Source organism: Homo sapiens, chromosome 2 (assembly GCF_000001405.40).
Source record: "Homo sapiens chromosome 2, GRCh38.p14 Primary Assembly".
Classification (NCBI taxonomy): domain Eukaryota; kingdom Metazoa; phylum Chordata; class Mammalia; order Primates; family Hominidae; genus Homo; species Homo sapiens.
In genome coordinates this window covers 69334397-69357224 of record NC_000002.12, presented here as the reverse complement: position 1 = coordinate 69357224, position 22828 = coordinate 69334397, and the positions used below count along the sequence as shown (strand labels likewise).

Sequence of the window (22828 nt, the reverse complement as noted above, 5' to 3'; positions counted from 1 at the left end):
TTTTCTAATTCTGTCGTTCCTCTGATAATTCATAGTATTATGACGATATAGATAGGTAGATGATGGAGATAGGATATATAGGTTCAGAAGTGTTCATAGCCTGTAGAAAGGATGACTTTTTAAATGATCTATTTTTGTAGTTGTTATCTATTGAGCATATTTTGGGTGTAGGCTTGGTTAAAAAAGTGGGTCTTGGCTGCGCGTGGTGGCTCACGCCTGTAATCCCAGCACTTTGGGAGGCCGAGGTGGGCAGATCACGAGGTCAAGAGATGGAGACCATCCTGGCCAACATGGTGAAACCCTGTCTCTATTAAAAATACAAAAATTAGCGTGGGGGTGCGTGCCTGTAATCCCAGCTACTCGGGAGGCTGAGGCAGGAGAATCACTTGAACCAGGGAGTTGGGGGTTGCAGTGAGCCGAGATCGTGCCACTGCACCCCAGCCTGGTCACAGAGTGAGACTCCATCTCAAAAAAAAAAAAAAATGTGGGTCTTGGATACACCAAAGCTTAGGAGTAAGTGTTTACTTAAACTTTAGACTTGTTTATAAACTGGTACAAAAGAGCATTTGTGTGAACAAAAAATTTCTGCGCTGAAGCCAGTATGTTCTAGGCATTTCTGACTTGATAATTGATTAAATAGTGCTAATGGATTTTTTTCCCTCCCTAGGAAGGTGCTTTTGCACTTGTGTTTAAAAGTGTTCATTTTCCCGGGCAAGCAGTTGGCACAAGGTACATATAACTCTAACAATGACTAATGTATTTCAACATATTTGAGTTACATGTTTATTCTTCGTAGACTATACATGACCCTTTATTATAAAGGCTCTGCCCTTTATTAGATATATTCATGTGAGCATATTTTCACATCTTCCTTCTTGTCTGTTGCTTACCACTCTTCCATTTAACAGAATCCCTGAAGAAAGCAAATACAGGCCGGGCGCTGTGGCTCACACCTGTAATCCTAGCATTTTGGGAGGTCGAGGCAGGCGGATCATCTGAGGTCAGGAGTTTGAGACCAGCCAGGCCAACATGGCGAAACCCCGTCTCTACTAAATATAGAAAAATTAGCCGGGTGTGGTAGCACATGCCTGTAATCCCAGCTACTCGGGAGGCTGAGGCAAGGAGAACCGCTTGAACCCAGGAGGCAAGAGGTTTCAGTGAGCCGAGATCGTGCCACTGCACTCCAGCCTGGCCTACAGAGCGAGACTCTGTCTGAAAAAAAAAAAAAAAAAAAAAAAAAAGAAAGCAAATATATTTTGGCATTTAATTGGCCTTTTGTCTTTGTTGGGCGCACCAAGGTTACTTTGTGAATTTGGATATTGAATATTATCTAATAAAGTTAAAATATTAGCTTTTTCTGTATTTTTTGAAACATATATTCTAGACAGATTCCTAGATAATTGTACCATCACTACTTCTTGCTAGGATATTTAGGCCTGATCATGAAGTCCTAAGTGAGGCGCCCTAAGATATTATGGTAAGAGAGATATTTTTAATCTGAAAACAGGGTGACTAAGGAGAAGGTGCTACACTTTCATATATTGGCATTCTGTGCACAATTGAAAGGAAGGTTCCCTTTAACATTACAAAGGAAAAAAATTAAAATACATTGTTACAGAACAGGTGTTGGCAAGTTTTCTGGAGTGGGCCGGATAGTAACTATTTTAGGCTTTCTGGACCATGTAGCCTCTGTAGCAACTACTCAACTTTGCAGTTGTAGTGTGAAAGCAGCTGCAGAAAATAAGTAAAAGAATGGGCATGGGTATGTTCCAAAATAACTGTATTTAATACAATTTTTATTTGTCAATTAAGAAAAATAATTAAAAAAAAACCAAAAACCTGTATTAGGCTGGGCGTGGTGACTCATGCCTGTAATCCCAGCACTTTGGGAGGCTGAGATGGGTGGATTGCTTGACCCCAGGAGTTCCAGATCAGCCTAGGCAACATGACAAAATCCCATCTCTATAAAAAATAAAAAATTTAGCTGGGTGTGGTGGTGCATGCCTGTAGTCCCAGCTACTCAGGAGGCTGAGGCAAGGGGATCACTTGAGGCCAGGAGGTCAAGGCTGCAGTGAGCTGTGATTGCGCCACTGCACTCTAGCCTGGGAGACAGAGCAAGGCTGTTGTCAAAAAACAAACAAATAAACAAAAACCGTTTATTTATAAAAATAAACCCTGGGGCTGCAGGTCAGTTTGCTGACCCCTGATAGAGAATATTTTGGATATAGGATCTTGTTCTGTCATCCAGGCTGGAGTGCAGTGGCGCGATCTTGGCTCACTCCAACCTTCACCTCCCAGACTCAGGCAATCCTCCTAACTCAGCCTTCCGAGTAGCTGAGACTGTAGGCACGTGCCATCACACCTGGCTAATTAGGAGACGGGGTTTTGCCATGTTTCCCAGAGTGGTCTTGAACTCGTGGGCTCAAGTGATCTGCCTGCCTAGGCCTCCTGAAGTGCTGGGATTACGGGTGTGAGCCATTGCACCTGGCCCAATACTGATTTTTTTAAAAAATTCTTTTTATCTAGTTCTTATATCTGAAGTTGAGCTTGGGGAGGATGATTTAAACATTTGAAGAGTATTGGCCCATTAAATTTTATGTCATTAGTCCATTATTTATAAAAATGGTTTAATTCTAACTGCTTTTGCAATTTACAGGCGAGGTAGCCCTCTGTTGATTGGTGTACGGAGTGAACATAAACTTTCTACTGATCACATTCCTATACTCTACAGAACAGGTAAAATTACCTCTACAAATGCAGTGCAGTAGATATGAAGAATTATTTTCCTTAAGTTGGAATAGATGGCTCTTTGGTCAGATGCACATGTATATATAGTTCTGTCTAGACATGAAAAAGATTTGTTTTTGTGAGTTCTCTGATGATTAGAATTTTTTTCTGTTGTGTATCCTTAGCTAGGACTCAGATTGGATCAAAATTCACACGGTGGGGATCACAGGGAGAAAGAGGTGGGAAATGCACTCTGCATGGATGGGGAGGATCTTATCCTCTTTTGTTTATTCTTTACTAATTCTTTTGTTCTTGGAGTGAATGAATGTGCTGGGCCTCTAAAAATGTGCTTATTTTGTGGGGAAGCATATTTTGACATTTTTCTAATTTGCGGAGTATATTTTGCGTGTCTGCTTTTGGCATTTAGAAAGTGCTTTTAATAATTTCATTAAAATTTCTGAAATTTGAGAAAATAGTTGAAATTGTAAATTATTTTTTCCTTTGTTTTAAAATCATGTAGGATGTATGCTTAGATTAGGAAAAGAGCATTGTGTGCTAGGTTATTATAGATTGACTAAGTGGTAGTTATTTGAATCATTTAGGCTAACTTTTAACTGAAATATGTTTAAGTGGTCTTTATTTTTTATACATGACATATTGTTGGATTTACATTTGCTATCTTGATTGGCTTTATTTGAATTTGTAGTGATTGTTCTTTTATATTGTTTATGTGTAAAGTTTATTTTTTGTTTTTCTTATTTATTTACTTCGATGTAACTTTTTTATAGAGCGGCAGGGGGAGACAGGGTCTTGCTCTGTTGCCCAGGCTGGAGTGCAGTGCAGTGGTATGGTCATACCTCACTGCAATTTCGAACTCTTGGGCTCAGGTGGATCCTCTTGCCTCAGCCTCTCAAATAGCTAGTACTACAAGCGTGTGCCATCATACCCAGCTAATTCTTATTTTTAGCCAGGGTTTTGCTCTCTCAGCCAGGCTGGAGTGCAGTGGTTTCGTCATGGCTCACTTCAGCCTTGGCTGCCTAGGCTCAAGTGATTCTCCCACCTCAGCCTCTTGAGTAGCTGGGACCACAGGCATGTGCCACCACCCCCAGCCAATTTTTTTATTTGTAAAAAGGAAGTCTTGCTATGTTGGCCAGGCTGGTCTCAAACTCTTGGGCTTAAGGGATCCTCCCACCTCAACCTCCTAAATTACAGGGATTACAGGAATGAGCCACTGTGCCTGGCTCCCAGCTAACTTTAAATTTTTTGTACAAATGGAGTCTTGCTATATTGCCCAGGCTGTTCTTGAACTCCTGGAGTCAAGTGATCCACCTGCCTCAGCCTCCCAAAGTGCTGAGATCACAGGTGTGAGCCACTGTGCCCAGCCCAGAAGTGTTCTTTTCATTTAAACAGACATTGATATCTCAAATTTTTTTTACCTTATTTATTTATTTTTTGAAACAGTCTTGTTCTGTTGCCCAGGCTGGAGTGCAGTGACATGATCTTGGCTCACTGCAACCTCTGCCTCCCGGGTTCAAGCGAGTCTCATGCCTCAGCCTCCAGAGTAGCTGGGACTACCAGTGCACACCACCACACCCGGCTAACTTTTGTATTTTTAGTAGAGACGGGGTTTCGCCATTTTGGCCGGGCTAATCTCGAACTCCTGACCTCAGGTGATCCGCCCACCTCGGCCTCCCAAAGTGCTGGGATTACAGGTGTGAGCCGCTGCACCCAGCCTCAAATTTTTTTTACATATTTTAACTAAATATACTTTGTTATTTGAAGAATGAAATTATCAATATTTGGAGAAAAAACACAGTGAAACTCAAGCCTATTAGGACATTTTATAAGCAAAAGTAGTTGTTTTTTTTTTTTTTTTTTTTTTTTTGAGACGAAGTCTCGCTCTGTTGCTCAGGCTGTAGTGCAGTGGCGTGATCTCGGCTCACTGCAACCTCGGCCTCCCGGGTTCAAGCGAGTGTCTTGCCTCAGCCTCCTGAGTAGCTGGGATTACAGGCACGTGCCACCACACCCAGCAAATTTTTCTATTTTTAGTAGAGACGGGGTTTCAGGCTGTTGCTCAGGCTGGTCTCAAACTCCTGACCTCATGATCCGCCCACCTCGGCCTCCCAAAGTGCTGGGATTACAGGCCTGAGCCACCACACCTGGTTGCATTTATTTTTTTAAAATGCTGAGCTCTCTTTTTATGTGTTTTTAAATTCACTTTTTTGTTTTGTTTTTGAGACAAAGTCATGCTCTGTCACCCAGGCTGGAGTGCAATGGCACAATCTCACCTCACTGCAACCTCCACCTCCCAGGTTCAAGCGATTCTCCCACCTCAGCCTCCGGAATAGCTGAGACTACAGGTGTACTCTACCACTCTCAGCTAATTTTTTGTGTTTTTAGTAGAGACGAGGTTTCACCATGTTGGCCAGGCTGGTCTTGAACTCCTGACCTCAAGTGATCTGCCCACCTCGGCCTCCCAAAGTGCTGGGATTAAAAGCATGAGCCACTGTGCCTGGTCTCTGTTTTTTAACATACAGTAATATTTACTCTTTTTCATGTAGTTTCACCAATTTTGTCAGATGCGAAATTGCATAAGTACCACCATAATCAAGATACAGAACAATTTCATCACTCAATAAGGTCCCTCAACCTGCCCTCTGTCATCAACCCTTGTCTCATTCCCAGCCCCTGGCAAACACTAATATGTTATTTTTCTATAATGTTACTTTTTCTTGGATGTCATCTTACATTTATTTTTCAGTTTGGCATCTTTGCTGTTAAATATGAATGGGAAAAGTTACTTTGTTTTCATCACTAAAACATCAAATAATCACAGATGGTGGAAAACTTCGAATATACTTTTTTTGGCTTTTATTTTTAATAGATATATAATTATATGTTTATGTGGTGTATATTTCAATACATGTGTACAATGTATAATGATCAGCTCAGGATAAATAGCACATTTGAATGCACATTTCTGATAATTATCAAGTCTGCCTTTATATGTGCATTTTAAGAGGATAGATGAAATAGCAGTTTTTATAAGTATACTTGTGATGTTCTCTGGCTATTGTGTCCATAGTTCTAAGTTCTGTTATGTCCTGGCCTTGAAGAAAGGTGCATTTTTGTCTCTAGGACATTTATGTAGTCTTCAACTAATAGATTTTTTTCCTATATAAGGCCAATTTATAAAACCTTAGCATTCCAGTTTTGATGAAAAAGTTAATATTAATGTCTTGACAAATTAAGTAGAGGTGTCATAATTCTGAAATACAAGAATTAAAAGGATATTAGCTTTGCAAAAAGACCCTACTTTATCCTGACTTAAAGGAAGAGTAAGAAAACCCAAGTTGAAGAAAGGAGAGTTTCTTGGTTTATAAATTTTGTCTCTAACAGTGGGTGCCACATATGATATACCGTGATTAGAGAGTGATATGCATCTGTTTTGTTTTCAAATCAGAATTAGTGTAGACTACAACTTGATTTGTTATGCTGACTTGCTGCTAAAATCTAGTGAGGTTTTGTTATGATACAATAAAAATTAATTTGCCACTAGCCTTCATTTTCTTTTTCTTTTTTTTTTTTTTTTGAGACAGAGTTTTTGCTCTGTTGCCCAGGCTGGAGTACAATGGCGTGTGATTTCGGCTCACTGCAGCCTCCACTTCCTGGGTTCAAGTGATTCTCCTGCCTAAGCCTCCCAAGTAGCTGGGATTATAGGCGTCTGCCACCACGTCTGGCCAATTTTTGTATTTTCAGTAGAGATGGGGTTTCGCCATGTTGACCAGGCTGGTCTTGAACTCCTGACCTCAAGTGATTCACCTGCCTCGGCCTTCCAAAGTGCTAGGATTACAGGCGTGAGCCCCTGTGTTCATTTTATTTTTCGTTGCACAATTTTGATATTTTAAATGTAATTTTGTTATAATTATAGGTACACAAACTTTTATGTGTTAAGATCATTGTTTTGTATAAAGTTAAAATTAATTTATACATACTTTTGATTTAAAAAACCGGTTAATATTAAGGAATTACTTGTCTTTTACCTGGAAAATAAATATTATATTAAAAAAACATATAATGTAGCACTTTTACCTGCCACGCACTCTTTGATAGTTGCTACTTCACTGTACACTTTTTGTCTGTTCTTATTGGCTTATTGCATGGAAATAAGGTGATCTACTTGGCTTTTTAAATTTGCTAAAATTGTTTTGTGTTGCTATGATTTTTTCTTGATTTTATAGAATATTATGCATATTTCTACATTGGACATGATTTTCTACATGTTTGCCAATTCATGTTAACTATATGCTTTAGGCAAAGACAAGAAAGGAAGCTGCAATCTCTCTCGTGTGGACAGCACAACCTGCCTTTTCCCGGTGGAAGAAAAAGCAGTGGAGTATTACTTTGCTTCTGATGCAAGGTGAGCTTCCTTAGTTGATTCAAAGAGATTTTTAGTAAAACTTCTCATTCTGCAGGAAACCCAAGAAGTCATTGTGTATCAGTCTAGTTGTGCTCTGTGAGATAACTTTTTAAATTAAAGAAATACAGGTGACCATTTTGGAGATGGGGCTGTAAGGACACTTTTTCTGTCATTTCAAAGTATGTGGGTCAGTTTACTAAGAACACATATACTGCTTGAGACTTGTTCCAGTGTATTTATTTTAGAGCTCTTACATTTTTTTCCTTCTTATTTCAGGAGCCTTATCCAGGTTTTGAAGGGAGGAGATTCTAGATTGAAGAGTAAAATGGCTTAGTTAGTATCCCAATAGTTATAGCATAGTTGCTAAACTATTGTAGTTTTAGTCTAATGTAGATACTCATCTTTTACATTTAGAATTAATTTGCAGCATAATCATTTTTATAAAGGGATAGTAGTAGACTAAGATATTTTGAGAGAAAATGCAGGGGGATGTTTACATGCATTTGTAAATGAAATAGTAATGAGGATAAAATAAAATCACCGAAATTGCAAACAAGTATTTGAGTCATCCACTGTACCTGAAAATAAGAGAAAATAATAAAAATAAGAAAATAATGCCATTTAGGACATCAGGGAATATATTATCTCAGTGGGAAAACAAGCTTTACTCTTTAATGTTTTTACAGGTGTGTAAGGTGTGTAGTCAGGGCTAAGATGTGTAAGATTACACAGTTGACAGTTATGGCTTAAATACACTGGAATTACAGAAACATATCAGCCTTTTCTCATTCATTTATACATTCATATTGAACACTGGGTGAAGTCATATGCTAGCGTCAGGAGATAATGGTGAGTAAAAATAAAAATATTACTTTTCCTTAGGAGCTCTTCCATAGTGAGGAGGCAAATTTTAAACAATGATCACAGAAGTGTAGAATTCCAGCTGTGACAAGAGCTGCAGAATGCTAGTAACAGAGTGATTTACCCTTGGTGGGTAAATTTCTTTAAGGGAATGATGTTTGAACTGAGAGTTAAGGAGAGATTAGGAGTTAATTAGGTTAACAGGTAGAGGGAGGAACATTCATTCTTTGCAAATGGCTCAGCCTGTGAGAGTTTAGGATGGCTTTGAGTGTGGCCAGAATAGAGAGAGTGAGAGGAAGCTTGGGGGGAGATGAAGCTGGAGAAGGAGGTATAGGGATTACGGTAAGGCACTTTGTTGTCTCTCTGAGAGCCAAAGGGAAACTGTCAAATGGTTTGTTGAGTGAAGGAGAAATCTTTATTAGAGTTGTTGCCTTTTGATATCAATTTTGGCAGAAATGGAGGATGGACGGAGAGAGATCAGAGAGAAAGTGGGTGGACTAATTGGGAGATCGCTGCAGTAGTCCACCCGAGGAGCTGATGGGAGCTTGAATTTGTCTGGTGGTGGACATAGAAACTAAGAATATTTGGAAGTTAAAATTTCAGGACTTGGTAATGGATAGAATGAGGAGGAAACAACCATGCTTTCTGATCTAATCTGTTTGGTTTAGATTGCTATGCAGAGTTCCTTTTATTTTTTGTCCACAATGACCACCTTCCCCATACTTTCCTGTAGGGGTTGGCATTAGTAACCAGAAAATTCTCTGAGATACTGCAGAGTGATAGAGTTTATATTGAAATTTGGTTCTTGTATCCAAATGATAGTTTCATTTGTAATAATGATCCTTGGTTATCGATTGTAATATCTCCTTGAAAACTTTATAGTGCTGTCATAGAACACACCAATCGCGTCATCTTTCTGGAAGATGATGATGTTGCAGCAGTAGTGGATGGACGTCTTTCTATCCATCGAATTAAACGAACTGCAGGAGATCACCCCGGACGAGCTGTGCAAACACTCCAGATGGAACTCCAGCAGATCATGAAGGGTGAAAGTTTTTGTCATGTTATAGCTTGCTGTCCTTACTGGAAAGAATATATTCTACTTCCTTTCCTAGCATATTAAATCTAGTAATGAATGATGAGTGGAATCTTCCACATGATTAGTGAAGGGACAACGCTAGGAAAAGGGATGATTCTTTAGAGAAATTATCTGCTGTTTTTACAATCGTCTTCAAACTAATTAATGATTTGTTATTTGTAACATTATAAAAAGGTTATTAACACTTGATACTTTAAAGATACTTTATAAACATAAAAATAGTTAATGTTCTGTTCCTTTTTATTCTCTTTGTGCTTTAGTTTTCTTATATATAACATGAGGATAATATAGCCTGCCTCATTAAGGTTGTTTTGAGGATTAAGAAGCTACTATATGGCTGGGTGCGGTGGCTCACACCTGTAATCTTAGCACTTTGGGAGGCCGAGGTGGGCAGATCACCTAAGGTGGGGAGTTTGAGACCAGTCTGGCCTTGCCAACGTGGAGAAACCCCGACTGTACTAAAAAATACAAAATTAGCTGGGTGTGGTGGCGCATGCCTGTAATCCCAGCTACTCGGGAGGCTGAGGCAGGAGAATGGCTTGAACCCGGGAGGCAGAGGTTTCAGTGAGCCGAGATTGCGCCATTGCACTCCAGCCTTGGCAACAAGAGCAAAACTCTGTCTCAAAAAAAAAAAAAAGAAGCTTAAAACAGTGTCTGACACACTTAGTCGTATGTAATATTTGCTTCTGTTAACTATTATAATTATTATGATTTGGATTATTTTATTCCTTTCTGATGGGATTGTGGTAGGAATAAAAACTAACATTGGCCAGGCACGGTGGCTCATGCCTGTAATCTCAACACTTAGGGAGGCCAAGGTAGGAGGATCACTTGAGCTCAGGAGTTTGAGACCAGCCTGGGCAACATAGTGAGACCTTATCTCTACTACAAACTAAAAAAAAAAAAAGTCCAGGTGCACTGGCTCACACCTGTAATCCTAGCACTTTGGGAGGCTGAAGCAGGCAGATTGCCAGAGCTCAGGAGTTCAAGACCAGCCTCAGCAACATAGCAAAACCCTGTTTCTACTAAAAATACAAAGAAAATTATGGGCATGGTGGCATGTACCTGTAGTCTCAGTGACTGGGGAGGCTGAGGTGGGAGAATCACTTGAACCCAGGAGGCAGAGGTTGCAGTGAGGTGAGATCGTGCCGCTGCACTCCAGCCTGGGCGACAGAGTGAGACTCTGTCTCAAACAAAACAAAACAAAACAAAACAAAACTATGAGCCGGGCATGGTAGTGTGTGCCTGTAGTCTCAGCTACTCAGGTGGCTGAGGTGTGAGAATTGCTTGAGCCCAGGAGATTGAGGCTGCAGTGAGCGGTGATCTTGCGGTGATCACTTCAGTCTGGGTGACAAAGACCCTGTCTCAAAAAAAAAAGTAAAAATAAGAAATAACATTTATTGCATAACTCTATATATATATATGTCAGATTTTTTGCTTTATTAATCCATACTACAATCCATACTGTGAAGTAATTGGTCTCTTATTTTATAGATTAATAATTTCCCCAGTTTAGATAGTAAAGGATAGAACTACAGTTTGGGTGGGTTGCACTCCAAAACTTAAAGCTTGTCCCAGTTGACTGAGTGCGGTGGCTCACGCCTGTAATCCCAGCACTTTGGGAGGCCGAGGTGGTTGGATCATGAGGTCAGGAGTTCGAGACCAGCCTGGTCAGTATGGTGAAACCTTGTCTCTACTAAAAATACAAAAAATTAGCCGGGCGTGGTAGCACACGCCTGTAGTCACAGCTACTCAGGAGGCTGAGGCAGGGGAATCCCTTGAATCCAGGAGGCCAAGATTGCAGTGAGCCTACATCATGCCACTCCACTCCAGCCTGGGTGACAGAGCAAGACTCCGTCTCAAAAAAAAAAAAGCTTGTCTCATTCACTTGTTGTAACTGCACATTTCAAGTATGAAGTTAATTAAAAGTGACTTTTACTGTTATTTTTTTCCACAGAGTAAAATATGTTCACCCAATCTTTTAGGCAGTCATGTCTATTGCATGAACTTTTGTTATATTTTATTTACCAAGATTATATTAAAGGAAACTTTTAGTTGTGTACAAATTCTTTTATTTGATTTGTTTTTGTTTTAATTATGTGATTTCTATTACTATAGGCAACTTCAGTTCATTTATGCAGAAGGAAATATTTGAGCAGCCAGAGTCTGTCGTGAACACAATGAGAGGAAGAGTCAACTTTGATGACTATACTGGTAATTACATATGAATTATTTTATTATTTCAGTGTCTCTGACAGTAGGAGGTGCCATTAACAACCTGAAAGTTCATTGCCCTTAATAGCCTTGTAGAACAACTACAGCTGCCAGCCATCAGTGGAGCCCAGCCATCTTGGAAAAAGTTCTTTAGTGTGTGATTCTACCTATATAAGATATCTAGAATAGTCAGATTCACAGAAAGAGAAAGTAGATTAATGGTTACCAAGGGCTGTGGGGAGGGGAAATGGGGAGTCACTGTTTAAAGGGTACAGAGTTTCAGTTGTGGGATGATGAAATTACAGAAATGGATTGTAGTGATGGTTGCACAATAATGTGAATGTGCTTAATGCCACTGAATTGTACATTTAAACATAGTTAAAATGGTAAATTTTATGTGTAGGTCACCCACTGTGTACCAGGGACTGTCCTAGGTACTGTGAATTCTAAGAAGAATAAGACCTGGTCCCGTTGCTGGGCAGCTTATGTGTATCTGCCTGGCCTAGGTTTCCTTTCTGAGTGTATAAATAAGTAAAAGTGTGAACTTCCCCAGAGGTCTTTCAGTTATTTGCCTGATGCCTTTGGATAACCTGTACCCTCCTGCATTTTTAAGGTAGAGGTGAGAGTACAACACTACTCTTTTTTTTAGGATGGAGTTTTGCTATTGTTGCCCAGGCTGGGGTGCAGTGGTGCCATCTCGGCTCACCGCAACTGCTGCCTCCCGGGTTCAAGTGATTCTCCTGCCTCAGCCTCCCAAGTAGCTGGGATTACAGGCATGTACCACCAGAGGAATTGTATCTGCCTCTGTAGACAGAGGTGGTTGTTGAAGATGGTTGAGCTGGAAGAACTGGGAGAGTAGCAGTAAATTCTTTTATGGTATTTATGGAAATGAGGTCAGGAAAAAGATTTGTTTTATAAGGGAAGAAAATGAGACAAACTTTGGGAAGTTCACGGTTTTAAAAAGTACTTTTGGCTGGGTGCAGTGGCTCATGCCTGTAATCCCAGCGCTTTGGGAACCCAAAGCGGGAGGATCGCTTGAGCTCAGGAATTCTAGACCAGTCTGACCTCCTTTTTACTAAAAATTTTTAAAAAATTAGCTGGGTGTGGTGGTGGGTGCCTGTAGCCCTGGCTACTGAAGAGCCTGAGGTGGGAGGATTGCTTGAGCCCTGTAGATCGAGGCTGCAGTGAGCTCTGACTCCACCACTGCACTGCAGCCTGGTTGAAAGACCTGTCTCAAAAAAAAAAAATAAAAAAGAGTACTTATATCTGTATTATGTACATAAAAGTTCTGTAATAAAACAGGATAGCTGTCATCTTTTTTGTTGTTAGGATGAGGAGATTGAGGCTTTCAGTTTGTCAAAGGTCACATTGTTAGTCATTTATTGAACCAAACTACTCCCCATGTATTCATTGTTCTAAGTGCTCTCCATCCCCTCCCCTGTCCATCAGGCATTCTTTCTTTTGCCTGTAGTGATGGCTTACCTCATCTCAAAAGGGATCAGGCTTTTCTCAAAAGCATCAAATTTAGAGCTTTGGGCAGCTTCTTTCAGAACTATCCCAACTATCCTCAGCCACCAGAAATTTCTAGGACTAATTTTAAGGAAACAACCGTGGCCAGCTAATCTCACTGTCTTACATCCATGTCATTCTTTGTCATCATCTGCAATACAGGTCTTTCTGGTAGTTGGTCTGCCTTTTTTTTTTTTTTTTTTTTTTTGCTTTGCTTTTATATTGAGTCTTTGCCTTTGCATGACCCTGATCCAGCCTTTTACTGCTGTTTCCTTTCTTCTCAAACATTTGTAATTAATGCCAAGGTCTGTGGAAAACACTGTAGGCAGAGGTACACAAACAGGCTTGGTCTAGTGCAGTAACAGCAAGAAGGCCAGTCTGGCTGGTGTGGCCTGAGTGAGAAGGGATGTGCTAGGTCAGAGTAAGCAGGAGACAGGTCTTATGGGACTTGAAGGCCAAAGTAAGTAGTTCGGATTTGATTATAAATTATTTGGGAAGCTAGTGACACTTTTTATTTTGTTTGGTTTTGTTTTCTACTTGCTAATTTTTTAAAATAGAGAAACATACCTTCTTTCATTATTGAAATTCAAAACGGAGAACATATAATTATTCAAAAGATAAAAAGTAAAACACATACCTTGGTTTTATAGTATAACTAACTAAGATAAAAAAGAAGGTGGACTGGCTGGGCGTGGTGGCTGACACCTGTAATCCCAGCACTTTGGGAGGCCAAGGTGGGTGGATTACTTGAGGTCAGGAGTCCGAGACGAGCCTAGCCAACATGGTGAAACCCTCTCTACTAAAAATAGAAAAAAATTAGCTGGGCGTGGTGGCTCGCGGCCTGTAATCCCAGCTACTAAGGAGGCCAAGGCTGGAGAATCGCTTGAACCTGGGAGGTGGAGGTTGCAGTGAGCCGAGATTGCACCACTGCACTCCAGCTTGGGCTACAGAGCAAGACTCTGTCTCAAAAAAAAAAAAAAGGTGAGGAGATGAAGAGAGCAGGGGCAGAGTAGACAGACTGAAAATGGTTCAGAGAGAGCAGCAGGATGAGGCCCACGAGGAGGTACCTGTCATTCTCCTCAGCCAGATTTGGAATTGTTTGAGTCCAGAAGCTCTCAGTGCCTTGACCACTATATTTACTTGGTGGGTGATTAGGGAATTTTAGTTGACCAGTTGAATGAATGTTGAATGAGAATTTCTCACAGATAGAAAACTAGCCTGTGTGGAAGGATTTCTGGACAAGACACATGGAGAACAACATGTAAATAGCTATAGAAACTGAAAATGAAAAAGAGGACAGACTTCATTGGAGGGTCTTTATGTTTTTAAAGGATCACTGTAAGAGATCCTTCTGGTAGCATATGGAGAGCAGACTCCAGGAGGTGGAGAACAGAAGAGAGAACTGGAGAATGTTGCTGTCGTCCAGGGAGAGATGCTGGGTTTGAAGATAAATGTGGAGGGATCAGAACAATCAAGCATTTTGACTGAAGCATTAGGGGAATGGGGACGGCAAAGACTGAGAGGAGAGTGGGTTTATGTTACTCTACAGAGCACCTTTCTGGGCACCAGAGGGGAAATAAACGTAACTGAGATAATGTTTTTCCCAGACAGGTTTATTGAGACATAATTAGATATAATAAAATTCACCATTCCTAGTGTATAACTCTAAGTTTGACAAACCTCTACAACATAGTCATAATCATAACCTCTACAAAGTCAAGATGTAGAACAGTTCCATCACTCCCAAAATTTCCTTGCACCCTATTGTTGTCAACCCCTCCTCCAGCTCCAGCCCTCTACATCTAATGATCTGTTTTCTGTGTCCCTCTACTTTTGCCTTTAAGATAACTTTCAAAGAGAAGAATGTAAAAATAACTAACTAAGGTAGAATGTAATAAATACTGTAATTGTGTGGGGATGTAGAGAGGTGAGTAAGGTCAGTTACAAGTTTGGGGGCGCCAGTGAAGTTGTGACTTATTTAATTTACTTTTCAAAATTACAGAGAACTGTGCTTTCCAAGAGGAATATTAATTCTTTAAAACAGCAGTATTCTTCCTCATATTGGCAGTGGATACTCACAAAATGCGATTGCCTAGTTCACATGGTTCTTTGCTAAATAATTATGTACACAAACTTTTATTTCAGTGAATTTGGGTGGTTTGAAGGATCACATAAAGGAGATCCAGAGATGCCGGCGTTTGATTCTTATTGCTTGTGGAACAAGTTACCATGCTGGTGTAGCAGTAAGTGCTTTTTAAAATTTTAATTATGTTGAATATTAGAGAATATCTGTAGACCAAGTAGTAGTCTAATAACATACTGTGTAAAACTATGTTTTGTTAATGTGTTATCTTTTCCCTTTTGTGATAAAAAAAGAAGGTAAGGGGAGAAATTTACCAGCTGCTTGGAATTATTTATCCATGGAAGATCTGTAGAAAAGGTCCCTAGATATACAGATAGACCTCCTGCAACGGACTTCATGAAAGGCCAAGAGGGGGAGAGTTTGTGTACTGTCCTAGACTTGTAGCCTAGGGAGCTTGCCTACATGTGTAAGAGCCATCGTTGGGTTTTGCTTAGCATTGTTCACTTGCCCTAGACAGATGGCCTGCATCATGTGTGAACCTCAGTGCAATTTTACTTTGTGGGCACATTACTGCAAAGAAAGGTAGTCTGCTTTTTTTTTTAAATCAGATTTTATTCTTTAAATTGTTCTTTTAGAAGCTGAAATTCAGTATCAAAAATGTGTATTGTCAGTGCAGAAGCATAGGTGTATGAGGGTCTTTTATTCCAATAAAAGACCAATATTTGCCCACGTAGTTTCCTTAGAAAGAGACAGTTTATGTGTTGCTGATGTCAACTGTTATGAACAGAAGACCTTTACATTCAATTTCTGCTTTTAGGATTGACTTCCAAAGTTCCTGACATAACTTATTTATTTGCTGAGGCATAAATATTTATTAGGAGCCATTTATTTAAGCAGTGAGTGAAACTATCTGGTCACCTGCCCTTGCATCTCAACAAGCTTTGCTCTTTTCTAAGACTACACCAAATACCTCCTCCCCTCCTCCCCCAAAATTATATGGTCCTAAACAGAAAGTCTATGTAATGTTGAAGGGTAGAGGTCTAAAAAAGTGATTGTTTTGTCTGGGTGTTGTGGCTCACACCTGTAATCCCAGCACTTTGGGAGGGCAAAGTGGGAGGATCAGTTGACCCTAGGAGTTTGAGCCTGGGCAACATAGCGAGACCCCGTCTCTACCAAAAAAAAAAAATTATCGGGGTGTGGTGGCAACTCCCTGTAGTCCTAGCTACTTGGGAGGCTGAGGCAGGAGGATCGCTTGAGTCCAGAAGGTGAGGCTGCAGTGAGCCTAGATTGCACCGCTGAACTCCAACCTGGGCGACAAAACCAGGCCCTGTCTCAAAAAAAAAAAAAAATTTTGAACACGGGAAGAAGAAAGATGTAAACACGTTAGTGGTGGCTTAGATCTATTACTGAATGAGCCCTGTATTCAGAAATAGAAAATTTGATTAAACGCTTCATCTAACGCTAAGACAATTTGGGGGCAGAAATTATATACTCTGTTAGAATTCTCTAATGTAAGATTTTTTGTTGTTTTGTGGATGCCAAGACTACTGTAGTAAACAAACATTAGAAATCCCCCTGTGGTTTATCAGACAAAATAGTACCATTTATTTTATCCTGTTTTACATTTTTGTTGTTGTTTCATGACACATTTACATGTTTTTTTTTTAGTATCTATATCCTGAATAACTGACTACACTCTAATCATTCTTAACTCATTTATGCCAGAGGTTGCAAAATTTTTTTGTGAAAAATCATCAGACCTTGGTGCTGACCTTGAGCAGTAGGATATAAATAACTCCCACATGCTTAACGTTCCAGTGATGGAACACTAGGCATAAATGATTTAAGTATAGCCTACTTAATATGCTTTTCAAAATTTTAATTTTCTCTAGGTTTTGTAGTGGCATTCAGTGGAATTTATAGCATTAAGTTACTCTATTGTGATGGAAATATGTCATTTTGTGTATTTATAAAAAGTTGTTCGCAGCTGGGTGCAGTGGTGTGTGCCTATAGTTCCAGCTCCTCGGAAGCTGGGGCAGGAGGATCACTTGAGACCAGGAATTTGAGGCCACAGTGCCCTAGAATCATGCCTCTGAATAGCTGCTACACTCCAGCCTGGGCAACAAACCAAGACCCCATCTTTAACCAAAAAAAAAAAAAAAAAAAAAAAAGTTGCCCCAACTAAAATAATAAACTATTAATTAGCACAGATAAATCTTGAGATTACTTTTTTGGGGTTTATTACTTTTAAATATCTGGTAAGCCTCCAGATTTCTATCTTTCTCTCTTCTTTCCCCATCTTTTTATTTTGAAGAATATGATTCCAATGTAACATTTATATTATAAACTGGGTGAAAAGGTTTGGTTTACATTTATTTGTGGGAAAACATTTAGCATTTTAGTGTCGGTAACTTAATTATGTATAATAAAATATATTAATGGAAAAGAATAATAAAAAATAGGAGCATTTTATCTTCAATGATTTTCTTTACATGATGTTGTAATATTGTTAAAAAATGCCAAATCAAAGTTATTTAATATTTTTGGGGGAACCAAGTAAAACGATTCTGTTCAAATTTGTGGGCAAGCAAAAGTTAAGGGCTATGAAATAAGGGCACCTTTAAGTTCTTTATTGCTGAGAAGGAGGAAAGCTGAGATGGGTGAGAGATGGGGAGGGCCACTTGCCTGAAGAGGCTGGTGAAAGGCTGTCAGGTTAGGTGAGCTCCACAGTTAGAATTAAAGCAACACTAAATGTATACATTGGTTGAGCTTAAAGTTTTTGCTGCCTAAAAGATAATTTTTCTGTTTTTGATTTTCCGATGTTTAGTGTAAAAATAATTAGAATGGAAATTTACTGAAATGAAGGTTAAACTACGTTTTGCACAGAGGCATACTGCTCCCTACTTCATTCCCCCTGCCCCATGCCACAAAAGTTGAAAATAGTGAGCCCTGTTAAACAAGATTTCTAAAATATATTGACTTCTTTTGGGAAATGGTCATATTTATGAATACGTTGTACTTTTAAAGTGTTTAATTTTTCTCTATATATTTGTACATCTGTTACCTGATTTGAAACCCCTCCCTAACATGGGTATTACATGAATTTTCATTTTAAAGATTAGGAATTGGGAGGTTAGAGATAACACACAAGCTGACTCAGAACCATGCTCTTTCCACTTCTCAAAACGTTTTATATGTGTGGGTATGTTTCCTTATAAGAATGTATGTGTCCAGGCGCAGTGGCTCATGCCTGTAATCCCAGCACTTTGGGAGGCTGAGGCGAGCAGATCATGAGGTCAGGAGATTGAGACCATCCTGGCCAACATGGTGAAACCCCATCTCTACTAAGCTGGGCATGGTGGCGCACGCCTATAGTCCCAGCTACTCAGGAGGCTGAGGCAGGAGAATTGCTTGAACCCGGGAGGCGGAGGTTACGGTGAGCCGAGATGGCACCACTGCACTCCAGCCTGGCGACAGAGCGAGACTCCGTCTCAAAAAAAAAAAAAAAAGGAATGTATACATAGATAGTTGTCTAAAGAGACTGATAGTAAAATGTTAGCCATGCTTATCTCAAGTGGTAGGATTTTGATTTTTTTTTTTTAAATATTTTAATCTGGGTTGTTTTTATTTTCTAACGTGTCATTTTTGTAATCAGAAAAAGCAAAAACTATACATTGAATCCAAAGAAGTCCGATGAAAGAGTATTTGAAGGAAAGTTCTGTGACCAAGTCATATTTTCTCTGCAGACACGTCAAGTTCTTGAGGAGCTGACTGAGTTGCCTGTGATGGTGGAACTAGCAAGTGACTTCCTGGACAGAAACACACCAGTCTTTCGAGATGATGTTTGCTTTTTCCTTAGTCAATCAGGTGTGTTAATTTTAAAGACTTAAAAGGAAGGAAAGTTATTCTTTCTAATAATTCTAGCATATCTTGGCAAAAGCTGATATTTAAAGATAAACTGGCATTGCAGATGACTTGACGAATACAGATTTATTTTAATGTTACATAATTCTTTATGAATTAGTAAAAATGAACACCTTTTGTGTTCAAAGAGCTGGATTTTCAATGACAGAGAAGGAAGAGAGATCCTGACAAGCCATATTACTTAAAGTTTTATAAATTTATTAAGTGGATGTTTTGTATTTTATTTAAAACAAGTAATATTGTTGAAAGTGTGGTCAATTTGTTTTTGCTCCTAAGAAACAGCATATGTTAAAACTGTTCTGTGTGTTATGGTTGGCCTACTTTTTACACAGGTGAGACAGCAGATACTTTGATGGGTCTTCGTTACTGTAAGGAGAGAGGAGCTTTAACTGTGGGGATCACAAACACAGTTGGCAGTTCCATATCACGGGAGACAGATTGTGGAGTTCATATTAATGCTGGTCCTGAGATTGGTGTGGCCAGTACAAAGGTAAATTCTTGACTCATTTCTCTGATGATTATTTAATCATAGTGTCAGTGAAGCAGACTAGTCTGTAGACTAGTCTGTATCTTATTTTTGTTAGCAGTTATAGAACTCACACATTTTATTTTTGTTAGCAGTTATAGAACTCACACATTTTACTAATCATTGTAATTATTGTAGGACTTTAGGGTCAGATAGATAAAAGACTTGTCATTCTCTCCCTCTTCCTGATAGAGTTTAAAAGGGACTTATGTATATAATGTAAGTCCATTTTGAAAAGGTCTCTGCTGGCTATCCTTGTCTATCGCTTACTGCCCTCCTGCTAGGCACAGTAGGATACATAACAAGTATATAACATCCCCTTCTTTTATGAAGTATAGTCTGGAATTTGAAAAGTAACAAATTAGAAACATCCACTTTAACCATTTTTGGAATTTTTATTTACCTATTTATGGTTTCTAATAAATAATGTAAAAATATACATACTACCTCTGAAAGTTTGTAAGGAGGAATACACCTTTGGTATAAAATTTGGCAACTGCCAGGCATGGTGGCTCACGCCTGTAATCCCAGCACTTTGGGAGGCTGAGGCGGGCGGATCATTTGAGCTCAGGAGTTCAAGACCAGCCTGGCCAACATGGTGAATCCCGTCTCTACTAAAAATACAAAAATTAGCCAGGTGTGGTAGCACGTGCCTGTAATCCCAGCATACCCGGGAGGCTGAGGCAAGAGAATCACTTGAACCTGGGAGGTGGAGGTTGCAGTGAAGCGAGATTGTGCCACTGCACTCCAGTCTGGGTGACAGAGCAAGAGTCCATCTAAAAAAAAAAAAAAAAAAAAAAATTTAAAATTTGGCAATTAAAAAAAATTTTTTAATGAGTATTGTATGACAATATCTTTCTCTTTAGATATTGCTCTGGGGAGGTTTAAAGGTACTGTCTTGTGTTTTGAAGGCCTGGTAAGACTACTTTGCTCTTTGGAATTGGAATATGCATAAATTTAGGTGGCTAATAAAAATAGGAAATCTTAGAAAGTTGTATAAATACAAGAGATGTTATCCCTCCACAAGTGTTTTTTTGGGGTTTTAGGTTTGTTTGGTTGTTATTTAGAGACAGGGTCTTGTTTTGTCACCCAGGCTGGGGCTGGAGTGCAGTGACAGGAATCATAGCTCCCTGCAGCCTCAGACTCATGGGCTCAAGTGATCTCTGCCTCAGCTTCCTGAGTGGCTGGGACTGCAGATGCACCAGGCTAGTTTTTTTTTTTTTTTTAAGATGGGGTCTCACTATGTTGTCCAATGTGTTACTTTTTATGATTTCACATTTTTGTTTTCTCAATATTTTTCTACTTAAGTTTGATATTTCTTGCTGATTATCTAATAAGATGTTGGGATATTGGTGGATTTGAGTTTAATTAAAGGATTGTGAAAGACAATGTTAATGTGTACATAACTGCATTTGAATTCTTTTCCCTCAAAGATTCTCATAGAGAATTTTTTGTAGAAAGTTTGTGATTCTTATATAAAAATTCTTCTTTTCTTTTTCTTTTTCTTTTTTTTTTTTTTTTTGGAGACAGACTCTCACTCTGTTGGCCAGGCTGGAGTGCAGTGGCGTGATCTCAGCTCACTGCAACCCCCGCCTCCTGGGTTCAAGCGATTCTCCTGCCTCAGCCTCCCAGGTAGCTGGGATTACAGGCACCTGCCACCACGCCTGGCTAATTTTTGTATTTTTGATAGCAATGGGGTTTCACCATGTTGGCCAGGCTTGTCTTGAACTCCTGACCTCAAGTGATCTGCCTGCCTCAACCTCCCAAAGTGCTGGAATTACAGGCATGAGCCACACTGTACCTGGCCCCCCACCTTTTTTTTTTTTTTTGGAGACAGGGTCTCTCCTCTTTATCATCCAGAGTACATAGAGTGCAGTGGTGCTCATGGCTTACTGCAGCCTGGACCTTCCCAGGCTCAGGTGATCCTCCCACCTTAGCCTCCTGAGTAGCTGGGACTACAGGTACAGGCCACTACCCATGCCTGGCTAATTTTTGTATTTTTTTGTAGAGACGGAGTTTTACCATGTTGCCTAGGCCAGTCTCGAACTCTTGGGCTCAAACGATCTGCCTGCTTTGGCCTCCCAAAGTGCTGGGGTTACAGGCATAAAAACTCTTGAGTGAGATTTTTATTTCTTGGGTATTTCGATATTGCTAACACTATAATTTACAGAGTGCTGAAACTTGAATTTTCTCCATATGGTAATTAAAACGTGTTACATGTTTGTGCTTGGGTTTCCATCCTGTGGCTGAATAAATGACCAGCCACCTTTAGTAGCACTTAAGGATTTGATTGGGGGATTGGAATCCCAGAGGCTCTTTATTTATAACAGATTGTGAAACAAGGGCTACAACGTGGTGTATGTGGGATATGGGATTGTTTGGATGGATGCCATTGACTTAATCTTTTCATAAAATGTTTCTGGAATTGTGAGCTGCCAAGGGAAATATATATTTTACATTTCTCATTCCTTTGTTTATGAGAACTTTAATTTGCCTCAACATTTTATGATGATGATTTTCAAATATACAGCAGAGTTTTAAAAATTTTACATACAGGCTGGGTGCAGTGGCTCACAACTGTTATCCTGGCACTTTGGGAGGCTGAATTGGGAGGATCACTTGAGGCTAAGAGTTCAAGACCAGCCGAGGCATCAGAGTGAGACCTTATCTCTATAAAAAATACAAAAATTAGCGGGGCATGGTGGTGCGTGCGTGTAGTCCCAGCTACTCAGGAGGCTGAGGCACGAGGATCCCTTGAGCCTGAGAGTTTGAGGCTGCAGTGAGCCATGATCACACCACTACACTCTAGCTTGGATGATAGAGTGAGACCCTGTCTTAAAAAAAAAAATAAAAATTTTACATTAGCATTGGTATACCCACCATCTAGCTTCTACCATAGCATATTCACCAATTTTAAGTGTACAGTTTTAGTAAATTCATTTGGCTGTACAACTGTTATCACAATCCAGTTTTAGAAGATGATCACCTGAAATATTCCTTTGTGTTTCTTTGTAGTCAATCCTTACTCCTACCCTCCAGCCTCATACTCAGGAACTACTGTTTTCTCTTGCTGTATTATGGCATTTTCCAGAAAATTTTTGTAAATGGAATTGTATAACACGTCTTGTGTGTCTAGCTTCTTTCATTTAGCCTGAAGTTTGTTTTTTAAATAAAGCCAGTTAAATTTAGCAGTGAGGTATTGTATACCAACTTTAGTAACGCTAATGTTAATGAGTTCTAGTGACCCACTATTGGACTACCCTAGCCTGAAGTTTTTGAGATTTGTTCATGTTGTTATTTGTATCATTAGTTCTTTCTTTCTGCAAATCTTTTTTTTAAATATTTTTATTTTGAAATAACTATATAGGAAGTTGCAAAGATAGTACAGAGAAGTCTTACATACTTTTTACCCATTACCCCAGTGGTTACCACCTATATAAGAAAAATTAGCATCTTTTTAGTACA

The 22828-nt window shown here is 39.5% G+C and overlaps 1 protein-coding gene across 4 annotated transcripts in view; it reads left to right on the top strand.

Annotated features, from left to right (window-relative positions):
- Positions 1–22828, top strand: part of GFPT1 (glutamine--fructose-6-phosphate transaminase 1) — a 67448-nt gene that overhangs the window by 30003 nt on the left and 14617 nt on the right. For 2 of the 4 annotated variants that reach the window (NM_001244710.2, XM_017003801.2), the window contains exons 7-15: positions 668–729; positions 2657–2736; positions 2913–2966; positions 7042–7147; positions 8891–9054; positions 11226–11321; positions 14976–15073; positions 18660–18780; positions 19170–19327. In NM_001244710.2, the coding sequence (NP_001231639.1) occupies positions 668–729; positions 2657–2736; positions 2913–2966; positions 7042–7147; positions 8891–9054; positions 11226–11321; positions 14976–15073; positions 18660–18780; positions 19170–19327 (939 nt within the window). The remainder of the gene's footprint in view (positions 1–667; positions 730–2656; positions 2737–2912; positions 2967–7041; positions 7148–8890; positions 9055–11225; positions 11322–14975; positions 15074–18659; positions 18781–19169; positions 19328–22828) is intronic. The other 2 variants (NM_002056.4, XM_017003802.3) reach the window with 1 other exon arrangement.